The sequence below is a fragment of the Homo sapiens genome, chromosome 20 (assembly GCF_000001405.40).
Source record: "Homo sapiens chromosome 20, GRCh38.p14 Primary Assembly".
Lineage (NCBI taxonomy): Eukaryota > Metazoa > Chordata > Mammalia > Primates > Hominidae > Homo > Homo sapiens.
Genome location: NC_000020.11, coordinates 32,946,901 through 32,965,966, shown reverse-complemented (window position 1 = coordinate 32,965,966; position 19,066 = coordinate 32,946,901). Strand labels below are relative to the sequence as shown.

The window sequence follows — 19,066 nt, the reverse complement described above, 5'->3', positions numbered from 1 at the left end:
TGGCAGGGACACTCCCCTCCCACCTCAAGTGGTGGCCAAAGTCACCAAGCCCTTCGCAGGCTGGGCTAAACTGGACAGACACCAGGACAGCACAGTCAGGAGGGACCAGGGGTCCTTCCTCCCAAGGGAGCAAGGCCAGAGCCCAGGACAGGCCCCAAAGCCAATGGACATAGCTTTGTGGGGGTTGAGTTATCTGGGACAGCCCAGCAGTTGCACTCAGAGCAGCTGAGCCTGGCAGCGTTCAAACGCTGACTCCCCCACTTCCTGGCGTGATCGTGGGCAAGCAATTTCACCTCTCTGAACCTCTCTTTCTCTGCAAAATGAGGTCATATCAGCACCCACCTCGTGGAATGATGTGAGGATTAAATACAGTTTCAGTACCTGGTTCAGGACCTGATGCTTGGAACGTGTCTAATAAAGGTTGTCTCTCACTTCCTTCAACTTTGAGAAACAGGGAATGCTGGAAATTCCATCCTTTTGCAGAAGGGAAAGAGAGTTCAAGCCCACTCCTTCTCGGATAAGTCAACGAGGGAAATCCAGTGAGGGTGGAAGAGAGGAATCGAGCACAGCCACCCCTGTTCCGTGCCTGGCTCAGAAACACCGGTCCCTGGGTCAGTGGGGAGGTGGCAGGTAACTTAGAGTTCATCATTGGTTTGAGGGACTCTAGCTGAAATTTGCTGGGAGAACAGCTGGGATTTAAGAAGAGGGCGTCAGCTACAAAGCTGAAAGCTCTAGAAACTGGGAAAATCGGCAGGGCCTGGTGGCTCATACCTGTAATCCCAGCGCTTTGGGAGGATGAGGTGGGTGGATCACCAGAGGTCAGGGGTTCAAGACCAGCCTGGCCAACATGGTGAAACCCCATATCTACTAAAAATACAAAATTAGCCGGGCATGGTGCCGCATGCCTGTAATCCCAGTTACTTGGGAGGCTGAAGCAGAATCGCTTGAACCCAGGAGGCGGAGGTTGCTGTGAGCCAAGATCACGCCACTGCACTCCAGCCTGGGCGACAGAGTGAGGCTCTATCTCAAAAAAAGAAAAAAAAGAAAAAGAAACTGGGAAAAATCTTCAGTGCAGCCACACTCTCTTCTGCTCCCCGACCTCGGGGGCTGTTATGGGTTGACCTGTGTCCTCCAAAGGATACGTTGAAGCCCTCAGGCCCAGTACCCCAGAATGTGGCCTGATTTGGAAATAGGGTTGTTGCAGAAGTCATCAGTTAAGATGAAGTTATACTGGAGTAGGGCGGGCCCTTAATCCTGTATGCCTGGTGTCCTTATGAGAAGACACTGTGGTCGGGTGCAGTGGCTCATGCCTATAATCCCAGCACTTTGGGAGTCTGAGGCAGGAGGATCCCTTGAGCCCAGGAGTTTGAGACCAGCCTGGGCAACACAGCAAGATCTTGTATCTACAAAAGTTTTATTTTTTATTTTTTTATTTTTCTGAGACACAGCCTTGCTCTGTTGCCCAGGCTGGAGTGCAGTGGCACAATTTCAGCTCACTGCAACCTCCACCTCCCAGATTCAAGCAATTCTCCTGTCTCAGCCTCCCAAGTGGCTGGGATTACAGGCATGCACTACCATGCCTGGCTAATTTTTGTATTTTTAGTAGAGACGGGGTTTCGCCACGTTGGCCAGGCTGGTCTCAAGCTCCTGACCTCAAGCAATCCTCCCGTGTCGGCCTCCCAAAGTGCTGGGATTACAGGCATGAGCCACTGCACTCGGCCTCTACAAAAAATTCTGAAAAGTAGCCAGGCGTAGTGGTGTGCACCTGTGGTCTCAGCTACCTGGGAAGCTGAGGCGGGGAGGTTCGCTGGAGCCTGGGGAGTTGAGGCTGCAGTGAGCTATGATCATCACACCACTGCACTCCAGCCTTGGTGACAGAGTGAGATCCTGTCTCTAAGGAGAAGGAGAAGAAGAGGAGGAATGAGAAGAAGGAGAAGAAGAAGGAGAAGAAGAAGGAGAAGGAGAAGGAGAAGGAGAAAGGAGGAAGGAGGAAGGAGGAAGGAGAAGAAGAGGAGGAGGAGGAGGAAAAGAAGGAGAAGGAGAAGACGAAAGAAGATAGAAGAAGAAAGAAGATAGAAGTAGAAAAAAGGAGGAGGAGGAGATGGAAGAAGGAGGAGAAAAGAAGGAAGGAAGGAAGGAAGAAAGAAAAGAAAAGAAAAGAAAGGAAAAGAAAAAAAAGAGGCATCATGGAGACCCATGAAGAAGATGCCCGTGTGACAATGGAGGCAGAGTGAGGAGCGGGGCGGGAAATGCATCTCTAAGCCAAGGAACACCAAGCAAGGATTACCAGCAAACACCAGAAGCTGGAAGAGGCAAGGAAGGGTCCTCCCCTACCAGGTTCAAGGTGCCCTGTTGACACCTTGATTTTGGGCTTCTGGCCTCCAGAACTGTGAAAAAATTAATGTCTATTGTTTGAAGGCCCCTGTGTGGGGTGCTCTGTTACCAACTTCCAGGGGCATCCAGAAGCCCTGGGACACAAAGGCAGGGTTCTAAAATGAGAAGCCACTTCCCAGGGGAGGTGGTATGAGGGGAAGGTCAGGGGAGGCACTGCTTGGGGTCCGCGTGGCCTGGGCAGGGCCCCATCACCTGTGCCCCCAACCCCGACCACAAAGGTGTCTGATCCCCAGCACCTCCTCCTGGGGACACATCCCATGATCCTCTGTGGCCCAGACAGCAGCCTCTCCTCAGCCCCAGACGGACGCCTTTTTCAGCTCCACCATAAGGAAGAGTTTTCTAGATTAGAAGGCACTTAATAGGTGTTTGTTGTGAAAGTGAAAATCAACAAGGGCTGCTGGGTGGGTTTACTGGGAAGCTACTGACACGTAAGCTGCAGCCTCTTCCAAGCTGACACCTTGACCTCCAGCCTCCAGAGCTGAGACAATTAGTTTCTGTTGTTTTAAGACATCAAGTGTGGTACTTTTTTTCCAGCAGCACTAGGAAACGGATACAGAGATGGTATTGGGATACAGACTGCAGATGGACTTTGGCCTCAATAATGCCTGGCTCCTGCGTGCCCCTGACTCCTTAATGCAAGAACCAAGCTGGGAGGGCTTAGATCATAATTTCTTCATACAGGAGAGGATGCAGTGACCCCAGGAAGGAGGCACAGGTGACGCAGAAACTCCCAGCAGACCGGGCGCAGTGGCTCACGCCTGTAATCCCAGCACTTTGGGGGTCTGAGGCGGGTGGAACATTTTGGGTCAGGAGTTCGAGCCCAGCCTGGCCAACATGACAAAACTCTGTCTCTACTAAAAATACAAAAATTAGCCGGGCATGGCGGCACATGCCTGTAATCCCAGCTACTCGAGAGGCTGAGACAGGAGAATCACCTGAACCTGGGAGGCGGAGGTTGCAGTGAGCCGAGATCGTGCCACTGCACTCCAGCCTGGGTGACAGAGCAAGACTCTGTCTCAAAAAAAAAAAACCTCCCAACCTCCCAGCAGAGTGGTGGTGGGGAGCCCGTGCTTCCACCCCTGTGAAGTGTAAAGGGAAATGGAAGGAGAAACACAGAGATGAGAAACGACACATACGCCCCTCAGGGCTGAGCCTCGGACTGCACAGGAGGGTCAGTGAGGACACTGAGACAGAGAGATCCCCCAAGAACCCCCAGCCTATAGCCCACCTCCTCCTTGCTCAGTAGCAGTGGGCTGCCCCAGCTCCCTTCAGGCTGCAGGTGATATGTCCAGAGGGCCCCACATGCCCCAGAATGGGATCTCCAGCTGCCAAGAGGGCTGATGGCCCAGCAGAGGTCTGGAAAGGTGCCTCTGGGCCAGAGGGGAAGGACACATGGGACTCCATAGCCTGACAGCGGCAGAGCCAGGAGGGGTGCTGCCCACCATGCTTCCAGCCCTCTCTGCACACGGGACAGAACAAGGTGCTTGGGGTGGAGTGTTTGATGATGAGGGAAGACTGACAGACAGCAGGGGCAGAAGACAAACAGCCATGACCCTCACCAGATGGCTGCCGGTCCTCACTCTTGCCATGAGGCTGAACCAAGTTTCCAAGCCAACCAGCCATGCCCAGGTGTCCTTGGACTCTCCTCTCTGCCTCTGCCAGGGCCAGGGGATGTGACTGGTCTCAGAAAAGGAAGGACCTAAGGGGGCAAGGAACACACAGCCCAACCTCATCACCTGTGGATGCCCACAGCTGAGAACATTTATTTTCTGCCCCAGGGCTCTGTGCGGGGCCAGAGAGAAGACAAGATTAGGAGACAGGTGAACTTCCCCAGAGAGGCCCAGTGGGGTGGCCGGGGGAAGAGCCACATCCTCTGGGTCTGGTAGGGAATAAGCCGAGAACATGCAGGACCGCCATGGGCCTGGTTGCCCTGCTGGAGGACTAGAGAAGACAGCGGAGCACCTCAGAACCTGACATGGGAGCTCCCCTTCACAGAGGACATGAAGGTGGCCTTCAGAGGCCTTGGGGGCCGCTCGAAGGAGGAGACAATGTGCTTGGGGGTCACTGACCCCTGCAGGGTGGACTTGGACACCGGGGATGGGACCGAGGGGGTGGAATGGGCTGTGGAGGCTGACTGGGGCCGCAGCAAGAAGGAGAACTGGGGCGTCAGGAAGGTGGGCAAGCTGGAGTCCAGCAGCCTGGAGGCTGAGGCAGTGACAGATAACAAGGAAGATGGGGAGGAGGCGGCCGCAGGCGTGCTGTCCGTGGTATCCAGCACAGCCTGCTCCCTGCTGGGCACCAGGTCCTTCTGGACATGGTGGGCCACCAGGCGGATGTGCTGGTCTTGCTGGTCTGGGCCCCTGCTGGTCAGGAAGTCAGGCTGCTGAGTCGGCATCAGATCACTGAAGTGCAGGCTTTGGTAGACCTGAGGCGAGATCTGCAGGGAACAGAGTGGGGAGCGGGAATGGGGCACCAGTTGGAGCCGGGGACACCCAGGATCAAGAGTAGACTCACAGGAAGGAGGCGCCCTGAGGTCTTCCCATGCCAAGAAGGCGTGTGTCCAGAGGACTGTGGCTACCACTAACCACCGTGGCCTGCGGGCCCATGCATCCACCCTGCACCAGGCCAGGTGCCCAGCCCTGCTCTCCACCCAGTTACGGCGCTTGTGGCAACTCTGTGAGCTGGCGAGCAGACTGCCCGCTTCTGAGAATGAGGCCTCGAGCTGGACCCTGGGTGAGGCCCAGGTGCAAAGAGCTCCTTGGAGCAATCCATCTCACACCAGCCTCTCCCCAGCCCGAGACAGGGGGGCCCTGCAGGGGCATGGCCTTCGGTGTTATCTCATTTATTCTTAAGGGGACCACAGGGAGGAGGGAGCTCCCACAATATTCCCCTGGCAGACAAGGACGGGGAGGCTGGGATCTCAAATCTGGAGCTCAAATCTGCTCTTTCGAACATCCCCTGCTCCTTTCTGTCCCTGATGGAGAGCCACTCCGTTTACCCTGTCTCTTACTATGGGCCTGGCATGATGCCCTAGTCTGCTGTTTGAGCACCAAAGTAGTGGGGACACAGGTGGGAAATATGCTAACCAGCAAATAGACAGCCACAGACCATAGGAAATGCTTGGAGGCTATAGACAGGAGTCCTGCCCAAGGAGACCTTGTCCCACAGGCCCTTGAGGCTTGTCCTCAAGGACAAAAGCTGCACCACTGACCTCAGCCAGGGCCTTGGCAAACAAACTGGCCACATTAGTCTCATCCCAGACCTGTCCATGGCCCAGAATCCTGTTAAAGGACAAAGGCTCCTGTCCACCCTCACTGAAGGGCTGTGTGGGCACAAGGGTGGCTGCTGGTGGACATGGGATCCCCTGGCCCCTGACCCAGCCTCTTGGGGAGCTGCCCCATCCCACCTTACCTGATGCTTCATCCAGCCATATGGCACCCTGGTGGACAGGAACCTGGTATTCTGCAAGCGTTCCTTGGGCTTATACGCCGCTCCCAAGACTTTGCTCACCTGCAGGAGCCACGCCCAAGAATGAAGGCTGCGAGTTGGGGGTCCCTGCACTCCTCCCTGTGCTCCCCTCCCAGCCTCACCTGCTTGTCCCTGGACTCCCACTTGTTCCAGCTGTCCTCAATGTCTTCCAGGGGGCGCTCTCCGGCCCACGGGGACATCAGGGCCATCTTCTGCAGCTTGGCCCAAGTGTCTGCCTCCTTATCTGCCTTCCCATGCAGGAGAGCCATCAGCGCCGCCTGCTCTCGCCGCTGGTATATCAGGGCCTCAGCCAGATCCCGCTGCTCCCTAGTGTGGGGGCTTTCCTTCACAAGATGTCCCCCCACTGCAAAGCAGGGTGACCCTCCCAGAAACCCTGAAAGCCTCTCCCCTTCCTGGCCTGATCCTTTCCAATCTTCCATCCCTCCCTCAGGCCAGACTCCCCAGAGTCCATCACTGAGTAAGTATGGAATTAACATTTGCAAAGCCTGGATCCAGCTGGCCCAGCAGTCCTGCCACTCTCCCACCACTCTGTCCTCTCCACCATGCAGACCTGACACCCGATCTGGCTTTATCTGGACCTCCCCTTGTGGACTATTTAAACATGTCTGCCCCCTGCCCCAGGGAAACCCTGCCTTTGCCTTGTTTGATGTCCCTCCACTGTACTGTCAAGATGTATGCCTTGATGGAAGCATAGGAGTCACAAAGATTCTGTGGATGCCTGACAGACTCCTACTTAAATGTCAAAACCCAACTCCAAAATCACCTCTCCTACGAAGCCTTCCTTACTTGATCCACTCAATCATGTAGATTGTCCTCTGAGCCATCCCTGTTCCTAATACTCTCATTACTTATCACATAAAATTGCAGCCATGAGTTTGCATGTCCACCTCCCTGAGTAAACTGTGAGTTCTCTGAGGCAGGACTGTGTCTGGATGTCTTGTATTTCTAGAACCTAGCACAAGGTCTGGCAGTCAGTAGGATCTCAATACACATTTTCTTGAATGAACCAGAATTACTGGAGACTTGGTCAGGAATAAAGATGCAGTGGATGGAGTGGGTAGGAGATGAACCTGCAGGGGGAGGACCAAGTAGCCAGCAGCCTGCTCCTCCCTGCAAATCAGGGAAATAACACAAATGTCCTCTCAGGATCAGGGACTTGGGCCTGGGCCTGAGCACTCCTCTGCCAGGGACCTCTGGCCATGCAGCAATGATCTCTGCAGGGAAGCCAGCTCTAGCAAATCTGGGCCTGGCTGGGGGACAGGGCCCCATCCAAGCACTTGGGTTTTTGTATTTTCCCCTTTCACTGCTCAACCTTTCAGCTGAGCTGGGCTAAAATAGGGCCTGGGCTCTCCAGCCATAGCTGCCACTGTGGAGTAGAGCTGCCTGCAACCCTCAAGCCTCTGGCCTTCTGAGGGTCCTCCCCACCCATGCCTAGCTCTACCCAACCCAGGTAGAGGCTTCCCAGGACCTGGGAAGACTCACAGCCTCTCCCTCCTCAGGCCAGAGAAGATCAAGCAGGCTGTGCTCACTCACTGCAGCTCCAGATGTAAGACCTTCTGGGTGGTGCCAGTGGAGTCACCATCTTCCTCTAAGCTTGCTCTGTTTTCACGAGGACCATCACAGGCATCCTGTAGTCTTTTCCACACACTCAGGCCAAACGTTCCTGTGATTTGACCAGACTGCTCAGAACCACAACTGGCATACCCCCTCCTCCATGCCCTCTGCCCCTTATCCTCTCCCTTCAAGGGTCAGCTAGCAGCCCCTATCCTCAGCCCCCACACTCACTCAAATGTTGAGTGCCCACCATACACCAGGCACGACACTGAGTACTCAACAAACGTGTGGATGAGCCAGACAGAAGCCCTAGGACACACTCGGAGCTCAGGCCTAAAGCATCCTGCCCCACATGTGAACTGAGATGGGGAGAGTACTATGGCAGTGACTGAATGATCCTCAGTTGGGCTTCAGGTAGCTTGTGTGTAAAATGGCAATGGCATAAAACGGTCAGACACCCATCAGATATGAGATTTGGGGTGGTGGGGGAAGGAATGGGGCTGGAGTAAAAAGTAGGTACTGAAAACAGAATTAAGTCCTGCTCCTGGGCAGAGAATAGTGAGTAGTAGGCCATTCTCCTGCTGCAGGATTTTTAAAGTTAAGAAAAATAAAACAGGTAAAAAATCATTTAAGAAAAAAAAAAATCACTGGAAAGCAGTAGAAGCAAAGAGGGCCAGGTGAACTAAGATGACAGAAAGGGACAAGTCTTTCCAAGAAGAGCTGGGAGTGGGAGCTGCTTTCTTGTCTCGGGGGCACTCCTGAGTCTACACACGGGCTGAATGAGAATCAGACTTGGCTTAGAGAGAGAGAAACCAGCAGAGCTTCTGACATCCACTGTGGCTGGCATGATTAATTAAGTCTCGCCTGAATGCACAGCTGTTTTTCTTGTTAGGACATTTGCCGAGCACCAGGGAGGCTGGGGTTGTAGGTGCTGGTATAGAAAAGCCGAATGAGATCATTGGGAGACAGAGTCCCACTGAAGGAGGAGCCTGAAACAGACACAGATTTCAACCTTGAGACAACTGAACACAGAGGCAAACTGAGTCCTCCTAAAGCTGCTATCCAGCCCCAACCCAGTTCAATCCCCAACTGGATGGAGATGCTCAGCCCTATACAGAGGAAAGAGCAAATGCTCTGGGGGAAATAATATCAACTAAAGTCTTTACAATCCATTTATACAAGCCCAGAAAAGTTTTGGGTTTTTTTTTTTTAATTTTATTTTGTATATATGACATGTGAAAAGGCCAATATAACCAATAATCAAGAGAAGAAATAGGCATTAGAAGTGGGCCCTCCAGAAGATTCACATTGGAGTTAGCAGATTAAAACTTTAAATAACTGTTACAAATAATGTTAAATAAAATTAAGGAAAATTGAATAAAATGGTGGAAAAGAATTGCAATCTATAGAAAAGAATCAAATGGACATTCTAAAACTAAAAAAATACATCTAAAATTAAGAACTAATTCAATAGATTTAATAGCAAGCTGCATACAGAAGAGGATAGGATTCGTGAACTGGAAGGCAGGTCAGCAAAAAAATAATCTGGAATTCAGAGATTGAAAAAAAATGAAAAAAAAAAAAAAGAATAGGGCATGAGACCTATGAGACAAAGTCAAATAGTCTAGTATACATATAGTTAGTACCCCCACAATGAGAGGAGAGAGAGAATAATGCAGAAGTAATAGTGAAGAGATAATATCTGAATGCTTTTCAAAACTGATGAAAGACATCAACCTCTAGATTTAAAAGATCAGTGAACTCCAAGCAGAATAAATACAAACAAAACCACACTTACGCACATCATAGTCAAACTGCTGAAAACCAAAAGCAGCCAGGGGAAAAAAAGACAAATTACCTTCAAAGAAGCAACTTGCAACTGACTTTTCAACAGAAAATATCAACACCAGAAGACCACTGAATGATTTTTTTAAATGCTGAAAGAAAAGAAACTGCCAGCTGAGAATTCTATACCCAGTAAAATAGTCTTAAATTTTACGGCAAAATAAAGATATTTTCAGATCAATAAACTATTGATCTGAAAATTTGATCAGAAAATTTGATCTGAAAATTATTAATCTGAGAATTTATTAGTGGCAGATAACACTATAAGAAATAGGAATTTCTTCAGAATAAAGGAAAACAACTGCAGACAGAATCCTAGAACTCAAGAATGAAGAGCACCAGAAATGGTAAATATGTGAGTAACCATAAAAGGAAATTGACTGCTGAAAGAAATAATAATGACAATGTCTTATAGGAAGACATAACATATGTAGAAATAAAATATATAATAATAACATAAACATGGGAGGGATGTAAGATTCTTGTACAGGAAGCAGCACTAGGTCAAGAATACATATAATCTCTAAGGTAATCACTAAAAGAATAATACAAAAGATACCATTTAAAGAGCAGAGGACATAAAACAACAATTTTTTAAATATTTGATTAATCCAAAAGAAATAAGAAAAGGAAGAAAAAAGAAACCAAGGATAGGATAAACAGAAAAAATAAATAGCAAGATGATTGACTTCAACCCAACTACATAATTGTTGATATTTAAATGGACTAAATACCCAATTAAAAGGTAAAGATTGTCAGACAGGATGAAAAAAATAAGACTCAATTATACATTGTTTAAAAGAGGCACACAAATATAAGAACAGAGATGGGCTGAAAGGGTCGTTTTTAACAAAAAATAGAGAAACAGCTTTTTCCCTCCCTTACATGGGCAGGCAGCATTTGCACATGTGAGGCAGGACCTTTATTCCAACTGGGTTGGAGGCCACCTATACCCTCGCTCAGGACGTGGAACAGAAGATATATGCTTGCTGTTTGGAGGTGGGGAAGGCTCCCAGCCCCCTTCTCAAGCCCTTCTTGGGGTTTCTTCAAGAATAGAACATTTACTAATCCAAACAGGACTCTCGAATACTGAGAGGGCATGTTTTTTAGATAATTTGTTTTATTTTATTTTATTTTTATTTTTTGAGACAGGGTATTGTTCTGTTCCCCAAGCTGGAGTACAGCAGCGCAGTCTTAACTCACTGCAACCTCAAACACCTGGGCTCTAGCGATCCTCCTGCCTCAGCCTCCTGAGTCACTGGGACTACAGGTGCACACTTCCATGCCCAGCTAAGTTTTTAATTTTTTGTAGAGACAGGGTCTCACATTGTTGCCCATGCTGGCCTCAAACTCCTGGGTTCAAGTAATCCTCCCACCTTGGTCTGTCAAAGTGCTGTGATTACAGGCATGAGCCACTGAGCCCAGCAGGGATCACTTGTTACAAATGCACTTGGAGGAGCCATTCTGTTTTTCACTTGTGTTCTTGTCTCTAATGGCCAGCTAGGATAAGATCTGGGTTTGGCTTTAGGGGGAGGGAGGGGCCTGCCTTAAGCAAAATCATACAGCTCTATCTCCACTTACCAGAAAAATGCTGCATTTTTTTAGGTAAAACCAAGAGAACCAAAGTAAAATGGTATTTTGAATTCCCATTGGCCACTCTACTCATGGGGAGGATAGATGTCCAGGACCAAGAAGGTTTTGGGCACTCAATGGTTCCTGGCCATAATACAATAAAGTTCCATTAAGAGTAAAATAGAATTCAACAATATATTAAAAGAATAATACATCTTGACTAAGTGGGGTTTACTCCAGGAATGCAAGGTTGAATTTTCAAAATTCAAAAAATGTAATTTACCACATCAACAGGATAAAGGACAAAAGCTATATGATTATCACAGTAGAAGCAGAAAAAGCGTTTGACAGAATTCAACACCTATTTATGATTTTTTTTAACTCTCTTGGCTAATTAGAAATAGAGAAAACATCCTCTCTACACAACAATTAATTGAAGATGGATCATAGAGCTAAATTAAAAGCCAAAATCTCTAGTTTCTAGAGGGAAATCTAAGAGAATATCTTTGTAATTTTAATGTAAGCAAAAATTTATTAGAGAACAAAAACATCTACTTGCTGATTTCAAAACATATTACAAAGCTACAGGAATCAAGACAGTGTGGTACAGGCATAAAAACAGACATATAAACCAATGGAATAGAAGAGAGTATCCAAAAATAAAGCCTCACATATATAGCCAAATGATATTCAACAAAAGTGCCAAGACCACTCAATTGGGAAAGATAGTCTCTACAACAAATGGTTTTGGGAAAACCGAATTGCCACATGCAAAAGAGTAAAACTGGACTGTTATTTTATGCCATATACAAAAATGAACTCAAAATGAATTAAATACCTAAAGATAATACCCAAAACTGTAAAAACTCCTAGAAAAAATATGGAGGAAAAGCTTCATAACATTGGATTAGGCCATTATTTCTTGGATATGACACTAAAAAAACAGGCAATGAAAGCAAAAATAGACATTAAACTTGAAAACCTCTGTGTATCAAAAAACGTAATCATGCTGGGTGTGGTGGCTCACATCTAAGATCCCAGCACTTTGGGAGGCTGAGGCAGGTGTATCACCTGAGGCCTGCAGTTCGAGACCAGCCTGGCCAAAGTGATGAAACTCTGTCTCTACTAAAAATACAAAAATTAGAGAGGTGTGGTGGGCCTGTAAGCCCAGCTACTCGGGAGGCTGAGGCAGGAGGATCGCTTGAACCCAGGAGGTGAAGGTTGCAGTGAGCTGAGATGGCACCATTGCACTCCAGCCTGGGTAACAAGAGCAAACCTCCATTTCAAAACAAACAAACAAACAAAAACCACAATCAACAATCAACCCAATGAAAACGAAGCCTACAGAATGGGAGAAAGTATCTGAAAATCATATCCCTGATAAGAGGTTAATATCCATAATATATAAAGAACTCCTACAACTTAAAAACAACAACACCCAATTTGAAAATGGGCAAAAGACTTGAATAGATATTTATTTCTCCAAAGATGATATACAATGGCCAACAAGCACATGAAAAGATGATTGCCAACCTCATGAATCATTAGAGAACTGCAGATCAAAACCACAACATCATCCCATTAGAATGGCTGTTTCAAACAAAAAAAACAAAAACAAAATAACAAGTGCTGGCAAGGTTGCAGAGAAATTGGAACCCTTGTGCATGTTTGGTGGGATTATAAAATGGTACATGTGCTATGGAAAACAGTATGGAGGTTCCTCAAAAAATGAAAAGTAGAACTACCATATGATCCAGCAATCCCACTACTGGGTATTTATCCAAAAGAATTGAAAGCAGGGTCTCAAAGAGATAGATACTTGCACACCCATGTTCACAGAAGCACAATTCACAACAGCCAAGAGGTGGAGTCAACTAAAGTGTCCATTAACAGATGAATGGATAAAGAAAATGTGGCATATATATACAATGAAATATTATTCAATGTTAAAAAAGAAAGGATATCTTGTCACATGTTACAATATTAATAAATATTGAGGGCATTATGCTAAGTGAAAGATGCCAGTCACAAAAAGATGACTATTGTATTATTCTACTTAGGTGAGTAACTAAAGTAGTTAAATTCGTAGAAACAGAAAGTTGAATGATGGTTACCAGGGGCTGGAGGTAACGGGAAATGGAGGAGTATGTTCAATGACTATAAAGCTTCAGATTTGCAAAATGAAAAAGTTCCAGAGATCTATGGCACAACAATGTGAATATACTTAACACTACTGAACTGTAGACTTAAAAATGGTTAAGATGGTAAGTTTTATGCTATATATTTTACCACAATTTTAAAGTACCCAACATGTTCTTTAACTTGGTAAGTTGGACTTCAGCAAAATTAAAAATTTCTGCTCATCAAAAGATGCCATCAGGAAAATGAACGGGCAAGTGATACACTGATAAAAGTACTCACAATGTGGATACCTGTTAAAGGTCTCATATCCAGGACACAAAGAATTTCTACAAATCAAGAATACAAAGACAAGCAACCAAATTTCTTAAAAACAACAAAATACTCAAAGAGACACTTCACAGGAGTAGATGTATGAGTGGCCAATAACAAATTGATTTTTGACAAAAGTACAAAAGGAACTCAAAGGAGAAAGGATAAAAATAGTGCTGGAACAAGTGGCTATCTCCATGCAAAATTTAAATTTTGTCTCATATTTCACAACATTACAAAAATTAACTCAAAATGATTATAGACCAAAAAGTAAGAGTGAAAACTATAAAACTTATAGAAGAAAATATAGTGGAAACATTTGTGACCTTGGGTTAGGCAAAAATTTCTTGCATACAATGCCAAAATTTAAAACTTCTGATTTTTTTTTTCTTTTTTTGAGACAGGGTCTTATTCTGTTGCCCAGGCTGTAGTGCAGTGGCTCAATCACAGATTACTGCATCTTCAACCTCCCGGGCTCAAGCAATCCTCCTGCCTCAGCCTCCTGAATAGCTGGGACTATAGACATGCACCACCACAACTGGCTAATTTTTAATATTTTTTTTTGTAGAAACAAGAGTCTCACTATGTTGCCCAGGCTGGTCTCAAACTCCTGAGCTCAAGCAATCCACCCACTTTGGCCCCCCAAAGTGCTGGTATTACAGGCGTGAGCCACCATGCCTGGCCACTGATCTTCAAAATGCACTATGAAGAGAATGTAAACACAAGCCACAGTAGTGGAGAAAAATATTTTCAAAACCTCATATCTGATCAAGAACTTGTATCCAGAATAAAGCATTCTCAAAACTCAATAAGAAAACAACACAGTTTTTTTTAATGGCAAAAGATCTGAACAGGCATTGCATCAAAGAAGATATATGGATAACTAATAAGTGCAAGAAAATATTTCAACATCATTAGTCACTAGAGGAATGCAAATTAAAATCACAGTAAGATACCACTATAAACCTAGTAGGATGACTATTTTTAACAGTTTTATTGAAGTATAATTGACATGCAATAACCAGTTTCTATTTAATGTGTACATATCCATCACCTGCAAAAGTTTCTTCCTGCTTCTTTGAGCTCCCACCCTTCCAACCCTCATCAGCCCCCTATCCTCAAACAACCAGTTATCTGCTGTCACACTACACATTTGTTTGCATTTCCTAAAATTTTATATAAATAGATGCAGGTGTAAATGGTTGGGAAAAAATAAATAGAATCATACAATATGTACAGGTTTTCGTCTGGCTTCTCTCACTAAGCATAATTATTTTGAGATCCAACCACGTTGTATAACGTATCAATTCTTCATTCTGTTTTATTGCTGAGTGATATTCCATAAACCATAGTTTATCAACTCAACTATTGATGGACATTTGAATCGTTTCTAGTTTGAGGCTGTCACAAAAAAATACTGCTGTGAACATTTATGTATGTAGTCTTTACCCGGGCATATGCTTTCATAGAAGTGGAACAGCTGATTCATATCATAGGGGCACATTTAACTTTTTAAGAAACTGCCAAAATGCTTTCCAAAGTGGTTGAACCATTTTATATTCCCATTAGCCGTGCAGGAGAGTTTCAGCTCCTTTAGCCATTCTAATAAGATAAATGGTATCTTACAGCGGTTTTAATTAGTATTTCTCTTCTAATGAATAAATATTGCGCATTGTTTTCCATGCTTCTATATATTTCCTTTGGTGAATGACAGAGCAGGAGCACCGTCATCTCGGACAAACACTGCCACTTTAAGTTCCAGCTCCCTTTCTAGCCTCATGCATTTCAAGGAAATCACGTCTCTTCTAACTACAAGCAGCCAAAAAGAGCAGACAGTAAAATACAATAGGACAGCTTGGGCACAGAGGGAGGGGGAGGTCTCTTGGGTAACTGCTAAACTTCACCCTCATACAATGGGCTCCAGTAAAACAGTGGGTCTTAAGAAGCACATTCCTTTCCCTTCAGGTGCACTAAGATAGGGAAGCTAAAAGCAACCCGGGGGATTTGCCTGCAGCTGCAGAAAGATGTATGGGAACAGACACACAACTCTCCCTCCCAGATAAGCACAACAAAGAGACACAGAAGCAGTCCAAGCCTCTGATAAATTCTCCCACCCTGAATCCTTAAAAACTCTTAGTCTGTAAGAGAGTGTGGCTCTAACCTAACTCAGCCAGCCGCCCCTCTCAGGTTTATTTAAAATAAACCTGTCCCTGTTGACTGTTGAGCTGTCCTTCGTGTTTCCTCTTTAATTCTTACAGTGAAGTCTCTTCAAATTTGGTGAAGTGTCTATTCAAACCTCTTTCTAATGTTTTTATTGTATTACTTGTTTCCTTGTTGAGTTCTGAGAGTTTATATATTCTAAATAGGAGCTTTATCAGATATAGGATTTGCAAATATCTTCTCCCAGTCTGTGGTTTATCTTTGTTCTCTTAACAGTGTCTTTTGAAGAGCAGAAGTTTTTAAGTTTGATAAACTGTTATTAACTTGATATTTTATGAATCATGCTCTATCGGTGTTGCATGCAAACAATCTTTGCCTAAACCAAGGTCACAAAGGTTTTCTCCTACGATTTCTTCTGGAAGTTTTAGTTTTAACTTTTGCCTTTAGTTCTATGTTCCATTTTTGTTGTTGTTGTTGTTGTTTTGTTGTTTTGTTTGTTTTTGAGACAGAGTCTTGCTCTGTTGCCCAGGCTGCAGTGCAGTGGTGCGATCTTGGCTCACTGCAGCCTCCGCCTCCCAGGTTCAAGCGATTCTTGTGCCTCAGCCTCCCGAGTAGCTGGGATTGCAGGCAGGCACCGCCATGCCTGGCTAATTTTTTGTATGTTTAGCAGAGATGGGGTTTTGCCATGTTGGCCAGGCTGGTCTCGAACTTCTGGCCTCAAGTGATCTTCCCACCTCATCCTCCCAAAGTGCTTGGATTACGGGTGTGAACCATCATGCATGGCCCATTTTGAATTGCTTTTTGTATGTGGTGTGAGGTGTGGATCCAAGTTCATTGCTTTAAGACTGTCTTTTCTCCACTGAATTGCCTTTGCACTTTTGTCAGAAACAGATGTCCATATATGTATGGATATATCTCTGGACTTTCTGTGCCATTCCATTGATCTGTCTGTCTGTCTCTATGCCATTACCACACTGTCTTGATTACCATGGCTTCACAATAAGTCTTGAAATCAGGCAATGTTAGCCCTTCATCTTAGTTTCCTTTGCCAAAGCTATTTTGACTGGCCTAAATAAATTTTAGAATCAGTGTGTCAATTTCTACAAAAATTCTTCTGGGATATTGATTGGTATTTCAGTTAACCTATAAATCAATTTGGAGATAATTTTATTCTTAATCAGAGAGTCTTCTACCCATTAACAGTAAATCTTCTATACTTTGTCTCAGCAATGTTTTGTAGTATTTTTCTGTGTACTTACATATCTTGGTATTTATGTTTTATGTTTTCGTAAATGTATCTTTTACTTCAATTTCTGGCTGTTCATTGCTAGTATATAGAAATACAATTGATTTTTTGTATTGATCTTGTATCCTGCAACCTTGTTAAACTCCTTACTAACTCTTTTTAGTAAAATCCACTGGATTTTCTACATAGACAATTAGTCAACTACAAATAAAAACAGTTTTATTTCTTCCTTTCCAATCTGAATGCCTTTTTTTTTCCTTCTGTAATTGCCCTCTACTCTTCTAGTATAATTTTGAATCGAAGTGACATGTCTTATTCCTGGTCAGGGGAAAGTACTCAGCCTTTCACCATTAGGTGTGAAGCTAGTTTTAGGTTTTTTCACAGATGCACTTCCTCAGGTTGAGAAAGTTTTTTCTATTTTGCTAAATGTTTTTTATCAGAAATGGATGTTGAATTTTGTCAAATGATTTTATTGTATCAAGATAATCACATAGTTTTTCACTTTATTAATATAATAAATTACACTGATTTTCAAATATTAAACCAACCTTGTATATCTGGGGTAAACCCTATGTGATCATTGCTGGATTTTATTTGCAAAATTTTGTTAAGATATTTTGTATTTATGCTTATGAGGGATATTAATTGATAGTTTGCTTTCTTTTCCTTTCTTTTCTTTCTTTCTTTCTTTCTTTCTTTCTTTCTTTCTTTCTTTCTTTCTTTCTTTCTTTTTCACTTTCTTCTTATAACGTCTTTGTCAGATTTTGGTACCAAGTTGCCTCATGAGTTGGGAAGTATTGTACCCTTTTCAACTTTCTGGAAGAGTTTCTGTAGAATTTATATTATTTCCCCTTCAAATATTTGGGTAAAATTCACCATGGAAGCCATTTAGGCCTGGAGGTATCTTTGTAAGGAGAGTTTTAAACTACAAATTTAATTTCTTTGATATAAGGATATTCGGGTTATCTGTTTCTTCTTGTGTAAGATTTAGTAGTTTGTTTCTTTCAAGGAGTTTATTTCATATAAGTTGCCAAATTTATTGTATAAAGTTGTTTATAGTATTTCATTGTTATCCTTTTAATATCTGTAGAATCAGAAATGATGTCATCTCACTCATTCCTGATATTGGTAATTGGTGTATTCTCTCTCTTTTTCCTGCCCAGTCTAGCTGGAGGTTTATCGATTTAACTATCTTTTCAAAGAACCAGCTTTTGGGTTCATTGATTTTCCTTATTATTTTTTACTTCCCTGTTTCATCGATTTCCATTCTAATCTTTATTATTTCTCTTCTATTTACTTTGGGCTCAATTTGCTCTTTCTTTCTAGTTTCTTTTTTCTTTTTTTTTTTTTTTAATTGAGATGGGGTCTTGTTATGTTGCCTAGGCTGGTCTTGAACCCCTGGGTTCAAATGATCCTCCCACCTGCCTCCCAAAGGCGTGAGCCACCGCACCAGACCTCTTTCTAGTTTCTTAATGTGGAAGTTGAGGCTGGAGATTTGAACTTTTTTCCTTCTAATATAGGCATTTAGTGCTACAAATTTCCCCGTTACTACTGTTTTTTGTGGCATCTCATAAATTTTGAAATGTTACATTTTCATTTTCATTCAGTTCAAAATATTTTCTAATTTCCCTCTGGATTTCTTTTTTTGGCCCATGGGTTATTTAGAAATGTGTCATTTAGCTTCCAAATATTTAGGGATATTTCAAAGATATTTCTGTTTTTGATTTATAATTCAGTTTCATTGGGATCAGAGAACATACTTTGTATGGCATAAATCCTTTTGAGATTAGTGAGATGTGTTTTGTTACCAGAATATGGTCGGTTTAATTAATGTTCTGTGTGCACTTAAAAATAATGTTTGTTTATGAATGATCTATAAATGTTAATTAAGTAAAATTGTTTGATAGTGTTATTCAAGTATTCTATATCATTAATGATTTTCTGTATAGTTGTTTTATAAATTGAGAGAATATTGAAATCTCATGCTACAATCATAGATTATTAAAATTTAAAATAATAACAGATCAAACACCAAATGTTGATGAAGACACAAAGGTAGAAATGCAAAACAGTTTGGTCATTTTTCATAAAGTTTCAATACACTTACCATACAACCCAGCCATTCTGCTTCTAAATACTTACCCAACAGAAATGAAAACAATGTTTAAAGCGGCTTCATTCATAATCATCCAAAACTGACAATGACTCAAATGTCCTATAATTGGTGAATGGATTAACAAACTATGACAGAGCCATACAGTGGAATAATACTCAGCAATAAAAAGAACAAACTACTGATACGTTCAACAACAAAGATGAATCTCAAATTGATTATGCTAAGTGAAAGTTAGACTT

General features: G+C 43.8%; 1 protein-coding gene across 6 annotated transcripts in view, besides 1 other annotated feature; it reads right to left on the bottom strand.

Moving 5' to 3' along the window:
* Positions 1-4,121: 4,121 nt before the first annotated feature.
* EFCAB8 (EF-hand calcium binding domain 8) overlaps positions 4,122-19,066 on the bottom strand; it is a 102,923-nt gene continuing 87,978 nt past the window's right edge. For 5 of the 6 annotated variants that reach the window (NM_001143967.2, XM_024451881.1, XM_024451886.1 and 2 more), the window contains 4 exons: positions 7,417-7,546; positions 5,985-6,189; positions 5,806-5,904; positions 4,122-4,831 (listed from right to left, as the gene is read on the bottom strand). In NM_001143967.2, coding sequence (NP_001137439.1) covers positions 4,358-4,831; positions 5,806-5,904; positions 5,985-6,189; positions 7,417-7,546 — 908 coding nt within the window. In that variant the 3' untranslated portion in view covers positions 4,122-4,357. Of the gene's footprint in view, positions 4,832-5,805; positions 5,905-5,984; positions 6,190-7,416; positions 7,547-19,066 lie in introns of those variants that run through there. The other variant, XM_024451883.2, reaches the window with a different exon arrangement.
* Positions 14,918-15,726: an enhancer, noted in NCBI's record as "OCT4-NANOG-H3K4me1 hESC enhancer chr20:31538047-31538855 (GRCh37/hg19 assembly coordinates)". NCBI's record gives its function as "activates a minimal SCP1, AML or CMV promoter by ChIP-STARR-seq in naive and primed H9 embryonic stem cells {active_cell/tissue: H9 hESC(naive and primed)}" and the evidence as "EXISTENCE:reporter gene assay evidence [ECO:0000049][PMID:30033119]".